The sequence below is a fragment of the Homo sapiens genome, chromosome 15, assembly GCF_000001405.40.
Source record: "Homo sapiens chromosome 15, GRCh38.p14 Primary Assembly".
Classification (NCBI taxonomy): domain Eukaryota; kingdom Metazoa; phylum Chordata; class Mammalia; order Primates; family Hominidae; genus Homo; species Homo sapiens.
In genome coordinates this window covers 41,172,071-41,190,359 of record NC_000015.10, presented here as the reverse complement: position 1 = coordinate 41,190,359, position 18,289 = coordinate 41,172,071, and the positions used below count along the sequence as shown (strand labels likewise).

Sequence of the window (18,289 nt, the reverse complement as noted above, 5' to 3'; positions counted from 1 at the left end):
CTGGGACTACAGGCGCGTGCCACCATGCCCAGCTAATTTTTGTATTTTTAGTAGAGATGGGGTTTCACCTTGTTGGCCAGGATGGTCTTGATGTCTTGACCTTGTGATCCGCCTGCCTCAGCCTCCCAGAGTGCTGGGATTACAGGCATGAGCCACTGTGCCCAGCCTAAAACAGTTATTTTCTTTAAAGTCTTGCTTACTGTTCAGAGGAAATTGTTTTATTGTCTCCAGGAAAATCCAGAAGTATGGTTCATCCGACCTGTTTCACCCTCTTTACTGAAAATTTTGGCCCTGGAAGCTACCTACCTGTTACCCCTTCGCTTGGCACTCCTAGATGAGATGATGTCTGACCTAACCACCCTGGTGGATGGTTACCTAAACACGTATCGCGAAGGGTCTGCAGACCGGCTTGGAGGCACTGAGGTAGGTGCAGCTCTCTGTCTTCAGGACCTCCTTTCTGCCTTCTCAAGGAAGGCAGACACAGTGATACCCTTTCTTCATAGCTGCGATAGTTTTCATGGGGTCAACTTGGGGATAAATACTCTTGAAGGGGCAACAGCTTGGGCATGATCCATCCCCTCACTTTTTCATAATGTTAAGTTAGGTATCCAAGAAATACTTCTGTCTAAGAATGGGTAAGTTTAATATTTCCATATTTTTATTTTATTTTATTTTATTTTATTTATTTATTTTTTTTGAGACAGAGTCTCACTCTGTCGCCCAGGCTGGAGTGCAATGACATGATCTCAGCTCACTGAAAACTCCGCCTCCTGGGTTCCAGCAATTCTCCTGCCTCAGCCTCCTGAGTAACTGGGATTACAGGCATGTGCCACCACGCCTGGCTAATTTTTTGTATTTTTAGTAGAAATGGGGTTTCACCATGTTGGCCAGGCTGGTCTCAAACTCCTGACCTTGTGATCCGCCCACCTTGGCCTCCCAAAGTGCTGGGATTACAGGCATGAACCACCACGCCCAGCCTATTTTTATTTTTTGAGATGGAGTCTCGCTCTGTCACTCAGGCTGGAGTGCAGTGGTATGATCTCAGCTCACTGTAGCCTCCGCCTCCTGGGTTCAAGGAATTCTCCTGCCTCAGCCTCCTGAGTAGCTGGGATTACAGGCACCTGCCACCATGCCCTGTTAATTTTTGTATTTTTGGTAGACATGGGGTTTTACCATGTTGGCCAGGCTGGTCTTGAATTCCTGACCTTAGGTGATGAGCCTGCCTTGGCCTCTCAAAGTGCTGGGATTATAGGCATAAGCCACCGTGCTTGGCCTCCATATTTATTCTTATGCAGCAGAGAGATATAAAAAACTATAGGCCTGAGGTCAGGAGTTTGAGACCAGCCTGGCCAACATGATGAAACCCCATCTCTACTAAAAATACAAAAAATGAGCCAGGCGTGGTGGCACATGCCTGTAATCCCATCTACTCAGGATGCTGAGGCAGGAGAACAGCTTGAACCCGGGAGGTGGAGGTTGCAGTGAGCTGTGATGACACCACTGTACTCCAGCCTGGGTGACAGAGCAAGACTCTGTCTCAAAAAAAAAAAAAAAAAGAAGAAAGAAAAGAAAAAAAAGGAAAAGCTTAAACTATTAAACTGAGAATTTCAATCATTTTTCAAGCATACTATGAATATTAACAATGACTGTCTCAAAAAAAAGGGCCAGGGCCAGGTACGGTGGCTCATACCTGTAATCCCAGTACTTTGGGAGGCCGAGGCTGGTGATCACCTGAGGTCAAGAGTTTGAGATCAGCCTGGCAAACATGGTGAAACCCCGTCTCTACAAAAAATACAGAAATTAGCTGGGCATGGTGGCGGGCACCTGTAGTCCCAGCTACTTGGGAGCCTGAGGCAGGAGAATCGTTTGAACCCAGGAGGTAGGGGTTGCAGTGAGCCGAGATTCTGCCACTGCACTCCAGCCTGGGTGACCAGCAGAAACTCTGTCTGAAAAAGAAAAGAAAAGACAAGAAATGAGAGGGAAGGGGAGGGGAAGGGAGGAGAGTGGAGGGGACAAGGGGAGGGGGAAGAGGAGGGAGAGGGAGGAAAAAGAGGGGAGGGAGACTATAGATCAGGATTTGGCAAACTATAGCCCGCTGGCCAAATCTGGCCTGCAGACTGTTTTCTCCAGCTCATGAGCTAAGAACAATTTTTACATTTTTAAAGTATTGTTAAAAAAAAAAGTAGTAGAAGTAGTATATGAGACTATGGCTCACAAAGCCTAAAATATTTGCTGTTTTGTTCTTTACAGGAAAAGTTTGCCAGTTGCTGTTATAAACCACTTTTACTTATGAATATTGATGTAAAATCTTAAAATACTAGCTTTTTTTTTTTTTTTTTTTTTTGAGACGGGGTTTCGCTCTTGTTGCCCAGGCTGGAGTGAAGTGGTGTGATACCGGCTCACTACAAACTCCACCTCCTGGGTTCAGGCGATTCTCCTGCCTCAGCCTCCTGATTAGCTGGGATTACAGGCATGCACCACCCCGCCTGGCTAATTTTGTATTTTTAGTAGAGACGGGGTTACTCCATGTTGGTCAGACTGGTCTCGAACTCCTGACCTCAGGTGATCCACCCGCCTCGGCCTCCCAGAGTGCTAGATTTACAAGGCGTGAGCCACTGCACCCGGCCTAATACTAGCATTTTTTATATGAACCCTATATATGTTATTATTTTTAATGTGTCATTGGATTCTAGTTGCAAGCATGGTTCAGTGTGACAAAATCATACATTTCAGTAGAGCCAAGAAAGTGTTATGATTATCTTATAAATGCTGAATAAATTATAATACTCTACATGCATTATTGGTCAAAGTTGGAATAGATGGTAACTTTTCTAACATAATAAAACATATACAGTCATCTCTCAGCATCTGTGGGGGATTGGTTCCAACATCCCCCCATGGATACCAAAACCCATAATGCTCAAGTCCCTTATGTGAAATGTATGGATGATTATATGAAACGTATGGATGAGCCGGGTGTAGTGGCTCATGCCTGTAATCCCAGCACTTTGGGAGGCCAAGGTGGGTGGTTCACCTGAGGTCAGGAGTTCAAGACCAGCCTGGCCAACATGGTGAAACCCTGTCTCTACTAATAATACAAAAATTAGCTGGGCATGGTGGTGCATGCCTGTAATCCCAGCTACTTGGGAGGCTGAGGCAGGAGAATTGCTTGGACAGACCGGGTGTGGTGGCTCACACCTGTAATCCCAGCACTTTGGGAGGCCCAGGCGAGCGGATAACCTGAGGTCAGGAGTTTGATACCAGCCTGACCAACATAGAGAAACCATATCTCTACTAAAAATACAAAATTAGCCGGGCATGGTGGCGCATGCCTGTAATGCCAGCTACTCGGGAGGCTGAGGCAGGAGAATCGCTTGAACCTGGGAGGCGGAGGTTGCGGTGAGCTGAGATCACGCCATTGCACTCCAGCCTGGGCTCGAAACTCCATCTCAAAAAAAAAAAAAAGAAAAAAAAAAAGAATCGCTTGAACCCAGGAGGTGGAGGTTGCAGTGAGCCGAGAGTGCACCATTGTACTCCAGCCTGGGCAACAAGAGCAAAACTCCATCTCCTAAAAGAAAAAAAAAAGAAATATATGGATGAAATGTATGTCCCTTATATGAAATGTAAGGATGATTTAAAGTATAGGGGAGGATATGTATAGGTTATACGGAAATGTGCAGCAGCATTTTTTCATTTTTCACTATCATATCCTCTCCTATACTTCAAATCATTCTTAGATTACTTATAATAGCTAATACAACGTAAATGCTATGTAAATAGTTGTTATATTGCATTGTTTAGGGAATAATGACATGGAAAAAAAAGTTTGTGCATCATCATTTCAAATGCAACCATTCTTTTTTTTTCTGATTTTTTTTTTTTTTTTTTTGAGACAGAGTCTTGCTCATCACCCAGGCTGGAGTGCAGTGGTGCAATCTTGGCTCATTGCAACCTCCACCTCCTGAGTTCAAGTGATTCTCCTCCCTCAGCCTCCTGAGTAGCTGGGATTAAAAGCATGTGCTACCGTGCTCAGCTAATTTTTATATTTTTAGTAGAGATGGGGTTTGGCCATGTTGGTCAGACTGGTCTGGAAATCCTGACCTCAAGTGATCCACCCACCTCAGCCTCCCAAAGTGCTGGGATTACAGGCGTGAGCCACTTTTTCCTGACTATTGCAATCTACAGTTGGTTGAATCCATGGATGCAGAACCCATGGATATGGAAAGTATCTCAAGAGAGAAGACTGCATATTTGTTTGAGAACACTAATATCAGGAACAGTACAAAAATTGTGACTATCACCACTATTTTAGTATTTTTGAAGCTATTAGCCAGTGAAATTAGAAAATAAAATATGAGCTATGGAAATTGAAAAAAGGAATCAGAATTATGACTTGCCAGCTATACAACTAAAAACTGAAGAGAAACAACTGAAAAAGACTACCACAAACAAAAAGACAATTTATAAAGTGCCTGGGTACAAATGTAAAAATTACTAGATTTTTGATATCCATACAAGCAGCTAAAAAATATAATCGGATGCCGGGTGTGGTGGCTCATGCTTATAATCCCAGCACTTTGGGAGGCTGAGGTGGGAGGATCACTTGAGCCCAGGGATTCAAGACCAGCCTGGCCAGCATAGTGAAACCCTGTCTCTACAAAAAAATTAAATATTAGCCAGGCGTGGTGGCACACACCTGAAGTTGCAGCTCCTCTGAGTGGGGGAGGCTGACGTGGGAGGATTGCTTGAGCCCAGGAGGTGGAGATTGCAGTAAGCCATGATCACACCACTGTACTTCAGCCTGGGTGACAGAGCAAGGCCCTGTCTCAAAAAAAACCCCACAAAAATTAGCAAGGCATGGTGGCATGCACCTGTGCTTCCAGCTACCCAGGAGGCTGAGGCAGGAGGATCACTAAAGGCCAGGTGTTATAGGTTACAGTGAGCCATGATCACACCATTGCACTCCAGCCAAGGCAACAGAGCAAGACCCTGTCTAAAAAAATCAAAACAAAACAAAACAAAAAACTTCCCAAAACCTGAAAGAGATAACAAAATAAAAATTTGGAGGAAAATAAAAATGTAATCCAATGAAAAAATATGTATATGATCATACATGAGTAGACTATCTTTGGGAGATAACACAAGAAACTGCTCTAAGAAGATGTACCTGCTAACGCAGCTGAGGCCAGGCTGGAAGGGAGACTAACTTTTCCTGTATAGTCTTTATACATACGTGCATACACACAGAGACACACAGCCCTATGGATTCACTGCCTTTTCAAAATATTGAAATTACTAGAAAAATGATACTACTATAATTGAAGACACCAGAGGGTGCTATATGAACACATTTGAATAGACTCTCATTTACCAATTACCATTTGGTACAACAGAAGTGATTTCAGGCCGGGCACTATGGCTCACGACTGTAATCCCAGCACTTTGGGAGGCCGAGGCAGGTGGATCACGAGGTCAGGAGATCGAGACCATCTTGGCTAACGCAGTGAAACTCTGTCTCTACTAACAATAGAAAAAAAATTAGCTGGGCGTGGTGGCAGGCGCCTGTAGTCCCAGCTACTTGGGAGGCTGAGGCAGGAGAATGGCCTGAACCCAGGAGGCAGAGCTTGCAGTGAGCCGAGATCGTGCCACTGCACTTCAGCCTGGGCGACAGAGCGAGACTCCATCTCAAAAAAAAAAAAAAGTGATTTTAAGTACCATATTCAGAAGTTTAGTTATAATAAACTTGTGTTCGCTTTCTCTTCTTAGCCTACATGTATGGAGCTGCCAGAGGAACTGCTTCAACTCAAGGACTTCCAGAAGCAGCGCAGGGAGAAAGCTGCAAGAGAATATAGGGTGAATGCACAGGGACTCCTGATAAGGACAGTGCTACAGCCAAAGAAATTAGTGACAGAGACAGCAGGGAAAGAGGAGAAAGTCAAAGGCTTCTTATTTGGTAAAAATTTTAGGATAGATAAAGCTCCAAGTTTTACATCTCAAGACTTTCACGGGGATGTGAATTTACTGAAAGAAGAATCTTTGAATAAACAAGCTACAAATCCTCAACATCTACCTCCCACAGAGGAAGGGGAAACCAGTGAGGATTCCAGTAACAAACTCATTTGCACAAAGTCAAAGGGGTCAGAGGACCAGAGAATAACTCAGAAAGAACACTTTATGACACCCAAACATGAGTTTCAGGCAAGTTTATCTTTGAAAGAGGAGACAGAACAGTTATTGATGGTGGAAAACAAGGAAGATTTAAAATGCACAAAACAGGCTGTTTCAATGTCTTCCTTTCCTCAGGAAACCAGAGTGTCTCCAAGTGACACTTTTTATCCTATCAGAAAGACTGTGGTTTCCACACTCCCTCCCTGTCCAGCCTTGGAGAAGATCGATTCCTGGATAAGTCCTTTTCTAAATCTGCCCTAGAGATGGGCAGTTTGTTCTTAAGGCCATACAGATGGCTTATTTCCTTTGCCATCAGGGCTTTCCACAGTGCCCAGGTTTCTCATGTTGTAAATGTAGTAATGCTTCAGTCACAGGGGAAAATTATATCCTCTTGCTTACTCCTGTGTTCCTGGTATGCGGAGAATGAGAATGAATAAGTTAAATAATGGAAGAAGTATAATTTCTGATTATGTCACTGTGTAGAAATGTTCTCAGTGACCAGAGTGCATTATTTTTCATAATTTGGGTTTAGAGGATTTGAAGAAAGGAAGAATCTTGGGCTTAGTATCAGGAAGACTCCATCATTTTCAAATTTTGTTTTGCTTCTTGACTTTTGGATTCCTTTGAAGAGACCTGGTAAAACTATTAACAATTCATTTAAAAAATTGGTACCTGATAACTTTACCAGTACTTTTTTCCTTTTTATTTATTTGTTTTATTTATTTTTTTTTACCGCTCCTTGTGGAGCAGGGCTACACCATAGGCAGTGTGCCCAGAGTAACCACTTTTTTCCTTTTTAAAATATAATATTAACTTTATGTTTGAATGTTGAATGTTTTGTCTGTCTCTTAGGCAAATAATGTTATAGGAATCAATAATTTAATTTTTGTTTTATTTGTTTTTTGATGGAGTCTCACTCTGTCACCCAGGCTGGAGTGTAGTGGTGTAATCTCTGCTCACTGCAACCTCCGCCTCCCGGGTTCAAGCAATTCTCCTGCCTCAGCCTCCTGAGTAGCTGGGATTACAGGTGCGTGCCACCACGCCCGGCTAATTTTTGTATTTTTAGTAGAGATGGGGTTTCACCATGTTGGCCAGGCTGGTCTCGAACTCCTGACTGACCTTGTGGTCCACCTGCCTTTGGCTTCCAAAGTGCTGGGATTACAGGTGTGAGGCACGGTGCCCAGCCAATATCTTTATTTTAATTTGTTTTTATTTCCTTTATTTTTAGCTGGTTTTGTCCATTTTCCTAACAAAGCAGGGACCCTGGGTTTCTTTTTAGTCTGTCTGTTATATAAACTTGAAGCCTGACTCCATTCTATTTGCCTGGAGTTAGTATACTTTCTTAGGGTGAAAGGAAGGCAGCTTGTATTGAGCCTTTTAAAGTATTGAATGCTTGCAAATTGCTAACATTCTTTTGTGTAAAATAACCAATAAACCTGTTTTGTCATACTCTACTTAAAAAAACAATCTCTCACTTTTCTTAATTGGGTCAGGGTGGAAAGAAATGTCTGGATTTCTAGGTCCAGAGTCCAGTTTATAAATCTGTGATTCGACTCTGTTATTCTTTTTGCTCTTAGGAACAATCTAAGATCAGGAGCATCCTTGTCTGCACTAGTTGATTCTGACTGCCACTGAAAGAATTTTTTTGCCTTTCCGAACTCCAGAGCCCAGATCTAGTCTGAGGTTAAGATTAAGGCAGGCCTGAGGGCAGTTGGCTCAGCCCTGCAGTTGCGTTGTCTCACCTTATACTTAGATTAGAAAGTCACTTGGGGCCAAAGTAGTTACTGGTTCATCTTTGGTGAATGCATCTTCAGATTGAGCCCGGTATGTGGTCAGTCTAGGTTTACTCTGCAAAAGGCATGGATTCCTGTAAAATTCTTGAACTTCATTTAGCTTCTTATAGAACCATTCAGTTGCTGGTCTTGAACTCCTGACCTCAGGTGATCTGCAAGACCATTCAGTTACTACTCATAACATATTTACATACATGGTATAAAGTACAATTTGAAAAAAAAAAAAAAAGAAAAAAGTACAAGGTATTACCCCTCAGGCTGGGCGCAGTGGCTCACGCGTGTAATCCCAGCACTTTGGGAGGCCGAGGCAGGTGGATCACAAGGTCAGGAGTTTGAGAACAGCCTGGCCAAGACAGTGAAACCCTGTCTCTACTAAAAATACAAAAATTAGCTGGGCGTGGTGGCACTTGCCTGTAATTCCAGCTACTTGGGAGGCTAAGGCAGGAGAATCGCTTGAACCTGGGAGGCAGAGGTTGCAGTGAGCCGAGATCACACCACTGCACTCCAGCCTGGGTGACAGAGCGAGACTCCGTCTCAAAAAAAAAAAAGGATTTTTCTGCCGGGTAAGGTGGCTAATGCCTGTAATCCCAGCACTTTGGGAGGCTGAGGCAGGCGAATCACCTGAAGTCAGGAGTTGGAGACCAGCCTGGCCAACATGGTGAAACTCTGTCTCTACAAAAAATACAAAAATTAGTCAGGCGTGATAGCGCACAAGTAATCCCAGTTACTTGGGAGGCTGAGGCAGGAGAAACACTTGAACTTGAGAGGTGGAGGTTGCAATGAGCTGACATCGCACCACTGCACTCCAGCCCGGGCAACAGACTGAGACTCTGTAGCAAAAAAAAAAAAAGCCAGGCACAGTGGCTCACGTCTGTAATCCCAGCACTTTGGGAGGCTGAGGCAGGTGGATCAATTGAGGTCAGGACTTTGAGACCAGCCTGGCCAACATGGTGAAACCCTCTGTCTACTAAAAATACAAAAATTAGCCAGGTATGCTGGCAGGTGCCTGTAATCCCAACTACTCGGGAAACTGAGGTGAGAGAATCATTTGAACCAGGGAGGCGGAGGTTGCAGTGAGCCAAGATCATGCTACTGCACTCCAGTCTGGGTGACAAGAGCGAAACTCCATCTAAAAAAAAAAAAAATTAGCCCGGCGTGGTGGCGCGCACCTGTAGTCCCAGCTATTCAGGAGGCGGAGGCGGGAGAATCGCTTGAACCCGGGAGGCGGAGGTTGCAGTGAGCCAAGATTGCACCACTGGACTCCAGCCTGGGCGACAGAGCGAGATAATGTCTCAGAAAAAAAAAAGAGAAAAAAAAAGTTCTACTGGACAGTGTGTTTGATAACTACTAGACTCCCCAAACTAAATGAGCCTTTGGGCTTCATTACAGTATTCTCTCAAGTGAAACACTCATCTATACCTGAAACAGCACTTTTCTCTACATCTTAATTCTAGCCTGGAGTGCCTACCTAAATTCTGTGTGTGCGGTTACACCTTAGGATGAATTTCTGTTCTTTGCTAGATAAAGTCCAAAAAAATTCCTGTTAACGCAAGACCTGTTGCTAGTGCTGTGCGCCATTGCCCAGATTTCTTGTCTACATTTTGGGAAATCCTGCATTTTTGTCTCGAACCACTGTTGAGTTCTTTACTTACTCTGTATTTTCCTAGTCTGAGAAGTCATAAACCATGCTTCCCAAACTCTTGGAGTCTTGCTCTAGTCTACCACTAATTTTCTGTATCTCCTCTACTCGGCTGACTTTTCTGTACATAACCTATAATTAGCGACTCACAAGTAATCTGACCCTTTTAGTATTGGAATAAGGAAAGGAGGTTAAATGACCACCCTGGACAAAAATGCAGCACTGAAAACAGAACCAGTGTTTCTTGGCTTCTTGTCCCATTCAGCGTTCTTTCAGCTATAGTACGAAAAGTCACTGCAGCGGCTTTGCCCCTATCTGTCTAAGAGCTTGATAAATTATGGCACAATAGAACTTTAATTCCCTATAAGCATCTTATTGTTTTGAGACAATGCATGTCCCAGCAGCAAGCTGAGATGAGGCCTGGGGTAAACTAGGGTGCCTGGGTGCAATTGACTCCCTATGAGTCAGCCAGGTAATTTGTCAAAAGGGTATTTATTTTAAAAGTAACACAAATAACTTACAGAAAATTTAGAAAATAAGAGAAAAAATAACTACAACCCTACTTTATACAATCCTTCCTGGCATTTTGATATTTTTCTTTCTATTTTCTCTCTCTCTCACCATACACACACACACACTTGAAACACAGTTACAATTATACTGTAAATACAATCATTGTGCTTTTGAGATGTATTTTCCTGTTTTGATGTTTCATCATTTCATATTATGTATTTTTCTATTGTGCTTTTTATATTATGTATTTTTTTATTTTAAATCCTAACAGCCAACATTTCACTAGATATTTTATTTTTTATTCATTTTATTTGTATTTTTTTTGAGACAGGGTCTCACTCTGACACCCAGGCTGGAGTGCAGTGGCACAATCTCGGTTTGCTGCAACCTCTGCCTCCCAGCCTCAAGTGATCCTCCCACCTCTGCCTTCTGAGTAGCTGGGACTACAGATGTGCACCACCAGACCTGATTAATTTTTGTATTTTTAGTAGAAATGGGGTTTCACCATGTTGGCCAGGCTGGTCTTGAACTCTTGACCTCAGGAGAGCCACCAGCCTTGGCTTCGGCCTTCCAAAGTGCTGGGATTACAGGCGTGAGCCACTGCACCTGGCCAGATATATTAGATCTTTCTTCCTTTCTTTCCTTTCTTTCCTTTCCTTTCTTTCCTTTCTTTCCTGTCTTTCCTGTCTTTCTTTCTTCCTTCCTTCCTTTCTTCCTTTCTTCCTTTCTTTCTTTTGACAGAATCTTGCTCTGTCCCCTGGGCCGGAGTGCAGTAGGGTGATCTCGGCTCACTGCAACCTCTGCCTCCCAGGTTCAAGCGATTTTTCTGCCACAGTCTCCTGAGTAGCTGGGATTACAGGTGTGCACCAACGCACATGGCTAATTTTTGTATTTTTAGCAGAGACAGGGTTTTACCATGTTGGCCAGGCTGGTCTCAAACTCCTTACCTCATGTGATCTGCCTGCCTCTGTCTCCCAAAGTGCTAGGATTACAGGCGTGAGCTGCAGCACCTGGCCTAGATATTTTATTTTAAAATTAACATGCTATTAAATAGAATTTGGAAAATGGCTGGGCATGGTGGCTCACACTTATAATCCTAGCTCTTTGGGAGGCCAAGGTGGGAAGATTGCTTGAGGCTGGTGTGCTAGGATCACAACACTGCACTCTGACCTGGGCAACAGAGCAAGATCCTGTCTCTACAAAACGAATAAAATAAAATAGAATTTGAAAAATACAGAAAAACAGAGAAAAATGTACTTATTTTTCTAACCCAATGGAAAAAGCAGCTGACATTTTTGTTAATTCCAGCCTCTACGGATAGGACTTTTTTCCCACTACATAGTTGTAACCATACATGTGTATTTTTCCTGCCTCATGCATGCTTTCCTGTGCTGCTACACAAACTGAAGATTTTTAATGACTGCATAATAGTCCTAAGAAGATATAGTATGGCTTATTTAACTATTTGGGTATGTTCAGGTTGTTTCCAATGATTTCATGCATAAAGCTTTTTCCGTATCTTGGATCACTTTGTTAGAATGAAAATCCAATATTAGAACTTGCAAATCAAAGTTTGTTTTTAACAATTGTTTTTTACAGCTCTTGCTAAGTCGCTTTCTAAAAGTATTAACCAATTATATTGCCACCTCTAATTTTTGTAGTAATCACCATTGAGAGCGTGAGATTTTTTTCTTTTCTTTTTTTTTTTTTTTTGTGGCAGGGCCTCACTCTGTCACCCAGGCTGGAGTGCAGTGACCCGATCTTGGCTCATTGCAACCTCCACCTCCCGGGTTGAAGCAATTCTCCCTCCTCAGCCTCCTGAGTAGCTGGGATTACAAGCATGCACCACCATGCCCAGATAGTTTTTGTATTTTTGGTAGAGATAGGGTTTCACCATGTTGGCCAGTCTGGTCTCAAACTCCTGACCTCAAGCAATCTACTTGCCTCAGCCTCCCAAAGTGCTGGGATTACAGGTGTGAGCCACAACACCCAGTCAAGAGCATGAGATTTTTTTCTTGAGAGGCATGGCATACTTTTAACTTTAAAAGTTCAAACTTCTTGGCTGGTGCAGTGGCTCAGGCCTGTAATCCCAGTACTTTGGGAGGCTGAGGAGGGTGGATCACAAGGTCAGGAGACTGAGACCAGTCTGGCCAACATGGTGAAACCCCATCTCTACTAAAAATACAAAAATTCGCTGGGCATGGTGGCGCATAGCTGTAATCCCAACTACTTGGGAGGCTGAGGCAGGAGAATCGCTTGAACCAGGGAGTCGGAGGTTGCAGTGAGCAGAGATCGCGCCACTGTAATACAGCCTGGCGACAGAGCAAGACTCTGTCTTAAAAAAAAAATTCAAACTTCTTTATCCAGAAACCTTAAAAGTTTCTTGTCATTTTTTGGGTAAATTACCTGAATTGGATGCAGTGAAAATTAATGAGAACATAAGTATTAGGAACATGTGAATTCTGATAAATGTTCCTCATCTCTAAGGATAATATTATGTACATCTTTATTTTATTTTATTTTATTTTTGAGATGGAGTTTTGCTTTTGTTGCCCAGGCTGGAGTGCAATGATGCGATCTCAGCTTACCACAACCTCCGCCTCCTGGGTTCAAGTGATTCTCCTGCCTCAGCCTCCTGAGTAGCTGGGATTACAGGCAAGCACCACCCCACCTGACTAATTTTGTATTTTTAGTAGAGACAGGGTTTCTCATGTTGGTCAGGCGGGTCTCGAACTCCAGACCTCGGGTGATTCACCCGCCTCAGCCTCCCAAAGTGCTGGGATTATAGGCATGAGCCACTGCGCCCGGCCGTCTAATATATCTTAATCATAGAAACTCTAAAAAAGTTAACATACTCATTATAAAAGGTTACTTTGAAATGTCTTCAGAGCTGGGCAGGGTGAGGTGGGTCACGCCTGTAATCCCAACACTTTGGGAGGCCAAGGCGGGTGGATCGCTTGAGGTCAGGAGTTCGAGACGAGCCTGGCCAACATGGTGAAACCCTGTTTCTACTGAAAATACAAAAATTAACCAGGCATGGTGGCCCACACCTGTAATCCCAGCTACTCACGAGGCTAAAGCAGGAGAATTGCTTAAACCGGGGAGGCAGTGGATGCAATGTAAGCTGAGATCGTGCCACTGCACTCCAGCTCTGGGCGACAGAGCAAGACTATGTCTCAAAAAAAAAAAAAGAAGAATGAAAGAGCAACAACAACAAAGAATGAAAGAGGGGCTATCATTTTAGACTCTACATACATTTAAAGGATAAAGGAATACTACAGACAATGCTATGCCCACAAGTTGATCAACTTAGTTTTATGGACAAATTCACTGAAAATCACAAATTACTAAAACTGATTCAAGAAGAAAGGGTAGGGGGCCAGGCGTGGTGGCTCACACCTGTAAATCCTAGCACTTTGGGACACCAAGGTGGGTGGATCACTTGAGGTTAGGAGTTCGAGACCAGCCTGGCCAATATGGTGAAACCCCATCTCTACTAAAAATACAAAAATTAGCCAGGCGTGGTGGCACATGCCTGTAATCCCAGCTACTTGGGAGGCTGAGGCAGGAGAATCACTTGAACCCAGGAAGCAGAGGCTGCAGTGAGCCAAGATCTCACCACTGCACTTTAGCCTGGCTGACAGAGGGAGACTCTGTCTTGGAAAAAAAAAAAAAAAAAGGGAAAGGGTAGGATAAAGGGACGTCGATTAATGGGTACAAATGGCTGGGCGTGGTGGCTGTAATCCCAGCACTTTGGGAGGCCAAGGTGGGTGGATTGCTTGAGGTCAGGAGTTTGAGACCAGCCTGGCCAACATGGTGAAACCCTGCCTCTACTAAAAATACAAAAATTAGCTGGGCGTGGTGGTGCATGCCTGTAATACCAGCCACTCGGGAGGCTGAGGCAGGAGAATCGCTTGAACCCAGGAGGTGGAGGTTGCAGTGAGCTGATATCGCGCCACTGCACTCCAGCCTGGGTGGCAGAGCGAGACTCCATCTCGGAAAAAGAAAAAAAAGAATACAGGCTGGGCAGGAGATTGAAACCATCCTGGCCAACATGGTGAAACCTCGTCTCTACTAAAAATCGAAAAATTAGCTGGACCTGGTGGTGTGTGCCTGTAATCCCTGCTACTCGGAAGACTGAGGCAGGAAAATTGCTTCAACCCAGGAGGAGGAAGTTGCAGTGAGCTGAGATTGCGCCACTGCACTGCAGCCTGGGCGACAGAGCGAGACTCCGTCTTGAAAAAAAAAAATAAAAAAATAAAAATAAATAAAAATACAAAAATTAGCTGGGTGTGGTGGCAGGTGCCTGTAATCCCAGCTTCTCAGGAAGTTGAGGGAGGATAATTGCTCGAACCCAGAGGCGGCGGTCACAGTGAGCGGAGATCATGCCATTGCACTCCAGCCTGGATGACAAGAGTGAAACTCCATCTCAAAATATAAGTAAAATAAAATAAAATAAATGGGTATAAATATACGATTGATAGGAGAAATAAGACGGTGTTAGATCAGTAGTGTGACTATAGTTTGCAATACTCTATTGTACCTTTCAAAATAGCTGGAAGACAGTAATTCAAATGGTTCTAGCATAAAGAAAATAAACATATTTAAAGTGATGGATATCTAGCTACACCGACTTGATCTTTACAAATTATATGAATATATTAAATTATCACATGTTCTCCAAAATTATATGCATGTATTATGCATCAATAAAAATTAATGAAGAAATAGAAAACCTGAATGGTCCTAAATCAATTAAAGAAATTGAATTCATCATGTAAGACCTTCCCAAAAAGAAAACTTTGTACCCAAATAGTTTCACCAGTGAATTTCTATCACACATTTAAGACAAATAATACCAATCCTGGCCGGGCGTGGTGCCTCATGCCTATAATCCCAGCATTTTCGGAGGCCAAGTCGGGCAGATTGCTTGAGCTCAGCAGTTCAACACCACTTGGGCAACAGGCAAAACCCCACCTCCACCAAAAATATAAAAAAATTAGCTGGGTGTGGTGGCACGCGCCTATGGTCCCAGCTACTCCAGAGGCTGAGGCAGGAGGATCACTTGAGCCCAGGAAGTGGAGATTGCTGTGAGCCGAGATGGTGCCACTGCACTCCAGCCTAGGAGACAGAGCGAGACCCCGTTTCAAAAAGAAAATTTTTTTTTTTTTACAAAAAATTACCAAAAAATACCAATCCTTCCAGGAAATAAACAAAGGGGATGCATTTCCTGACTCAGTTTATGATGCCAGCATTACCCAGATATCAAAACCAGGCAACCACGTTGCAAGATAACTATAGACCAATATTCCTCATTAACATAGATGCAATTTTTTTTTCTTTTGAGATAGGGTCTCATTTTGTCGCGATGGAGTGCAGTGGTGTGATCACAGCTTACTACAGTCTCGACTTCCCTGTGCTCAGGTGATCCTCCCACATCATCCTCCTGAGTAGGTGGGACTACAGGTGCACGCCACCATGCCCAGCTAATTTTTCTATTTTTTTTGTAGAGACACGGTTTCGCCATGTTGCCCAGGGTGGTCTCAAACTCCTGGGCTCAAGTAATCCAACTGCCTCAGCCTCCCAAAGTGCTGGGATTACAGGCATGAACCACTGCACCCGGCTCCAAATTCATCAACAAAATATTTTAAAATAACATCTTGAAATATATAAAAAGGATAATACATATAATTAAGAAATAACTATAAAAGTAGCTGGCAGCCCTCGGGGCTGCTCTGCCTATGGAGTAGCCATTCTTTTATTCCTTTACTTTCTTTTTTTTTTGTTTTTTTGAGACAGAGCCTCGCTCTCTTGCCCAGGCTGCAGTGTAGTGGTGCGATCTCGGCTCACTGCAAGCTCTGCCTCCCGGGTTCACGCCATTCTCCTGCCTCAGCCTCCCAAGTAGCTGGGACTACAGGCGCCCGCCACCACACCCGGCTAACTTTTTGTATTTTTAGTAGAGACGGGGTTTCACCGTGTTAGCCAGGATGGTCTCGATCTCCTGACCTCGTGATCTGCCCGCCTCGGCCTCCCATAGTGCTGGGATTACAGGCGTGAGCCACCGCGCCCAGCCTTCCTTTACTTTTTTAATAAACTTGCTTTCACTTTACTGTATGGAGTCGCCCCAAATTCTTTTTTGCACGAAGTCCAAGAACCCTTTCTTGGTGTCTGTATTGGGACCCCCCCTTTCCGGTAACAAGGGGACATGGGAACCTTCTCAGGTGATATGAATGTTCTATATCTTGATTATGCTGGTAGTTACACTGATGTATACATTTGTTGAAACTCATTGAACAATATACTTTAATTGGTGCTTTTTATTGTATGTAAATTATGCCTCAGAAAATTAATTTTAAAACATTTGGAAGCTGCTGGTCTAGTGGGTGTCAGGAAAATAATCATTAGGGCTACAATATTTTCGTTAAATGATGTCAATGAACAGAAGGAGCAAATATGTGTTGCTCTTATAGTTGGATAAAATTCAAACATAATTTTAAAGGAGGCAGTAATACATTCACATGATTATAAAAGAAACAGAGGCTGAGTGCGGTGGCTCATGCCTGTAATCCCAGCACTTTGGGAAGCCGAGGCGGACGGATCACCTGAGGTCAGGAGATCAAGACCAGCCTGACCGACATGGTGAAACCCCATCTCTACTAAAAATACAAAAAATTAGCCGGGCGTGGTGGCGGGCGCCTGTAGTCCCAGCTAATCAGGAGGCTGAGGCAGGACAATCGCTTGAACCCGGGAGGCGGAGCTTGCAGTGAGCCGAGATCGTGCCACTGCACTCCAGCCTGGGCGACAGAGCGAGACTCCGTCTCAAAAAAAAAAAAAAAAAAAAAAGAAAGAAAGAAAGAAAAAGAAACGATACAGAAGGGCTTATTAATGAAAGTAGATGTTCCCTTGGCTCCTCCTTTCCTAACCACAGTCCTGTTCCCTAGAACCATCCGCTTTTAATACATACAATTTTGTTTTGCTCTTTTTCTGAATGAAATAATGTCCTTTGGAGCAACATGCATGGAGCTGGAGGCCATTGTCTGAAGTGAAATAACTCAGATACAGAAAATCAAATACCGTATGTTCTCACTCAAAATAGGAGCTAAACAGCAGGTACACATGGACATAAGGATGGAAATAATAGACATTGAGACCTCCAAAAGGGGAAAGTGGGGGAAGAAGGGTTAAAAAAATTACCTGTTGGGTACAATAGAAGCCCAAACCTCACCATTATGTAATATAACAGGTAACAAACCTATACATGTACCCCCCTGAATCCAAAATTTAAAAATTAAAAAATTGGCTGGGTGCAGTGGCTCACGCCTGTAATCCTAGCACTTTGGGAGGCCGAGGCGGGCAGATTACGAGGTCAGGAGATCGAGACCATCCTGGCTAACACGGTGAAACCCCATCTCTACTAAAAATACAAAAAATTATCCAGGCATGGTGGCGGGCGCCTGTAGTCCCAGCTACTCAGGAGGCTGAGACAGAAGAATGGCGTGAACCCGGGAGGTGGAGCTTGCAGTGGGCCGAGATCGCGCCACTGTACTCCAGCCTGGGCGACAGAGCGAGACTCCGTCTCAAAAATAAATAAATAAATTAATTAATTAAATTAAAAAATAAAAATTAAAAAATTAATTTTTTTTTCTTTCGCCCAGGCCGGAGTGCAGTGGCCCAATCTGGTCTTACTACAACCTCTGCCTCCCAGGTTCAAGCGATTCTCCTGCCTCAATCTCCCAAGTAACTGGGATTACAGGCATCCACCACCACGCCTGGCTAATTTTTGTATTTTTATTAAGAGACGGTGTTTCACTGTGTTGGCCAGGCTTGAACTTCTGACCTCAGGTGATCTGCCCGCCTTGACCTCCCATAGTGCTGGGATTACAGGCGTGAGACACTGCACCTGGACAAAAAAGAAATTTTTGTTCCTCTTTTTCCCAAATGAACCAGAGTGTAAACTAGTAGATTTGGAAGAGTTGATCGAAGGCATTTAATTGCAATGCAAGCCAGAGAAACCAGAGGGCCAGTAACTTCAGCCTCTTGCTGTTGATCTCTCCATATTGCAATAGTAGCCTGTCTAATTAGGATGAGACACTTCCACATTCTGGAATTCTCCAATTCCCCAAGTACATTATTGTTTATAACTTGAAAGGCACCTGATGGCTAAACCCTGAGTATT

General features: G+C 43.6%; 1 protein-coding gene across 12 annotated transcripts in view, besides 1 other annotated feature; it reads left to right on the top strand.

Annotated features, from left to right (window-relative positions):
* Positions 1 to 7,632, top strand: part of EXD1 (exonuclease 3'-5' domain containing 1) — a 48,030-nt gene extending 40,398 nt beyond the window's left edge. For all 12 annotated transcript variants that reach the window (XM_047432210.1, XM_011521301.3, XM_011521298.3 and 9 more), the window contains 2 exons: positions 232 to 423; positions 5,767 to 7,632. In XM_047432210.1, coding sequence (XP_047288166.1) covers positions 232 to 423; positions 5,767 to 6,429 — 855 coding nt within the window. In that variant the 3' untranslated portion in view covers positions 6,430 to 7,632. The remainder of the gene's footprint in view (positions 1 to 231; positions 424 to 5,766) is intronic.
* Positions 9,654 to 10,204: an enhancer, noted in NCBI's record as "NANOG hESC enhancer chr15:41472354-41472904 (GRCh37/hg19 assembly coordinates)". NCBI's record gives its function as "activates a minimal SCP1, AML or CMV promoter by ChIP-STARR-seq in primed H9 embryonic stem cells {active_cell/tissue: H9 hESC(primed)}" and the evidence as "EXISTENCE:reporter gene assay evidence [ECO:0000049][PMID:30033119]".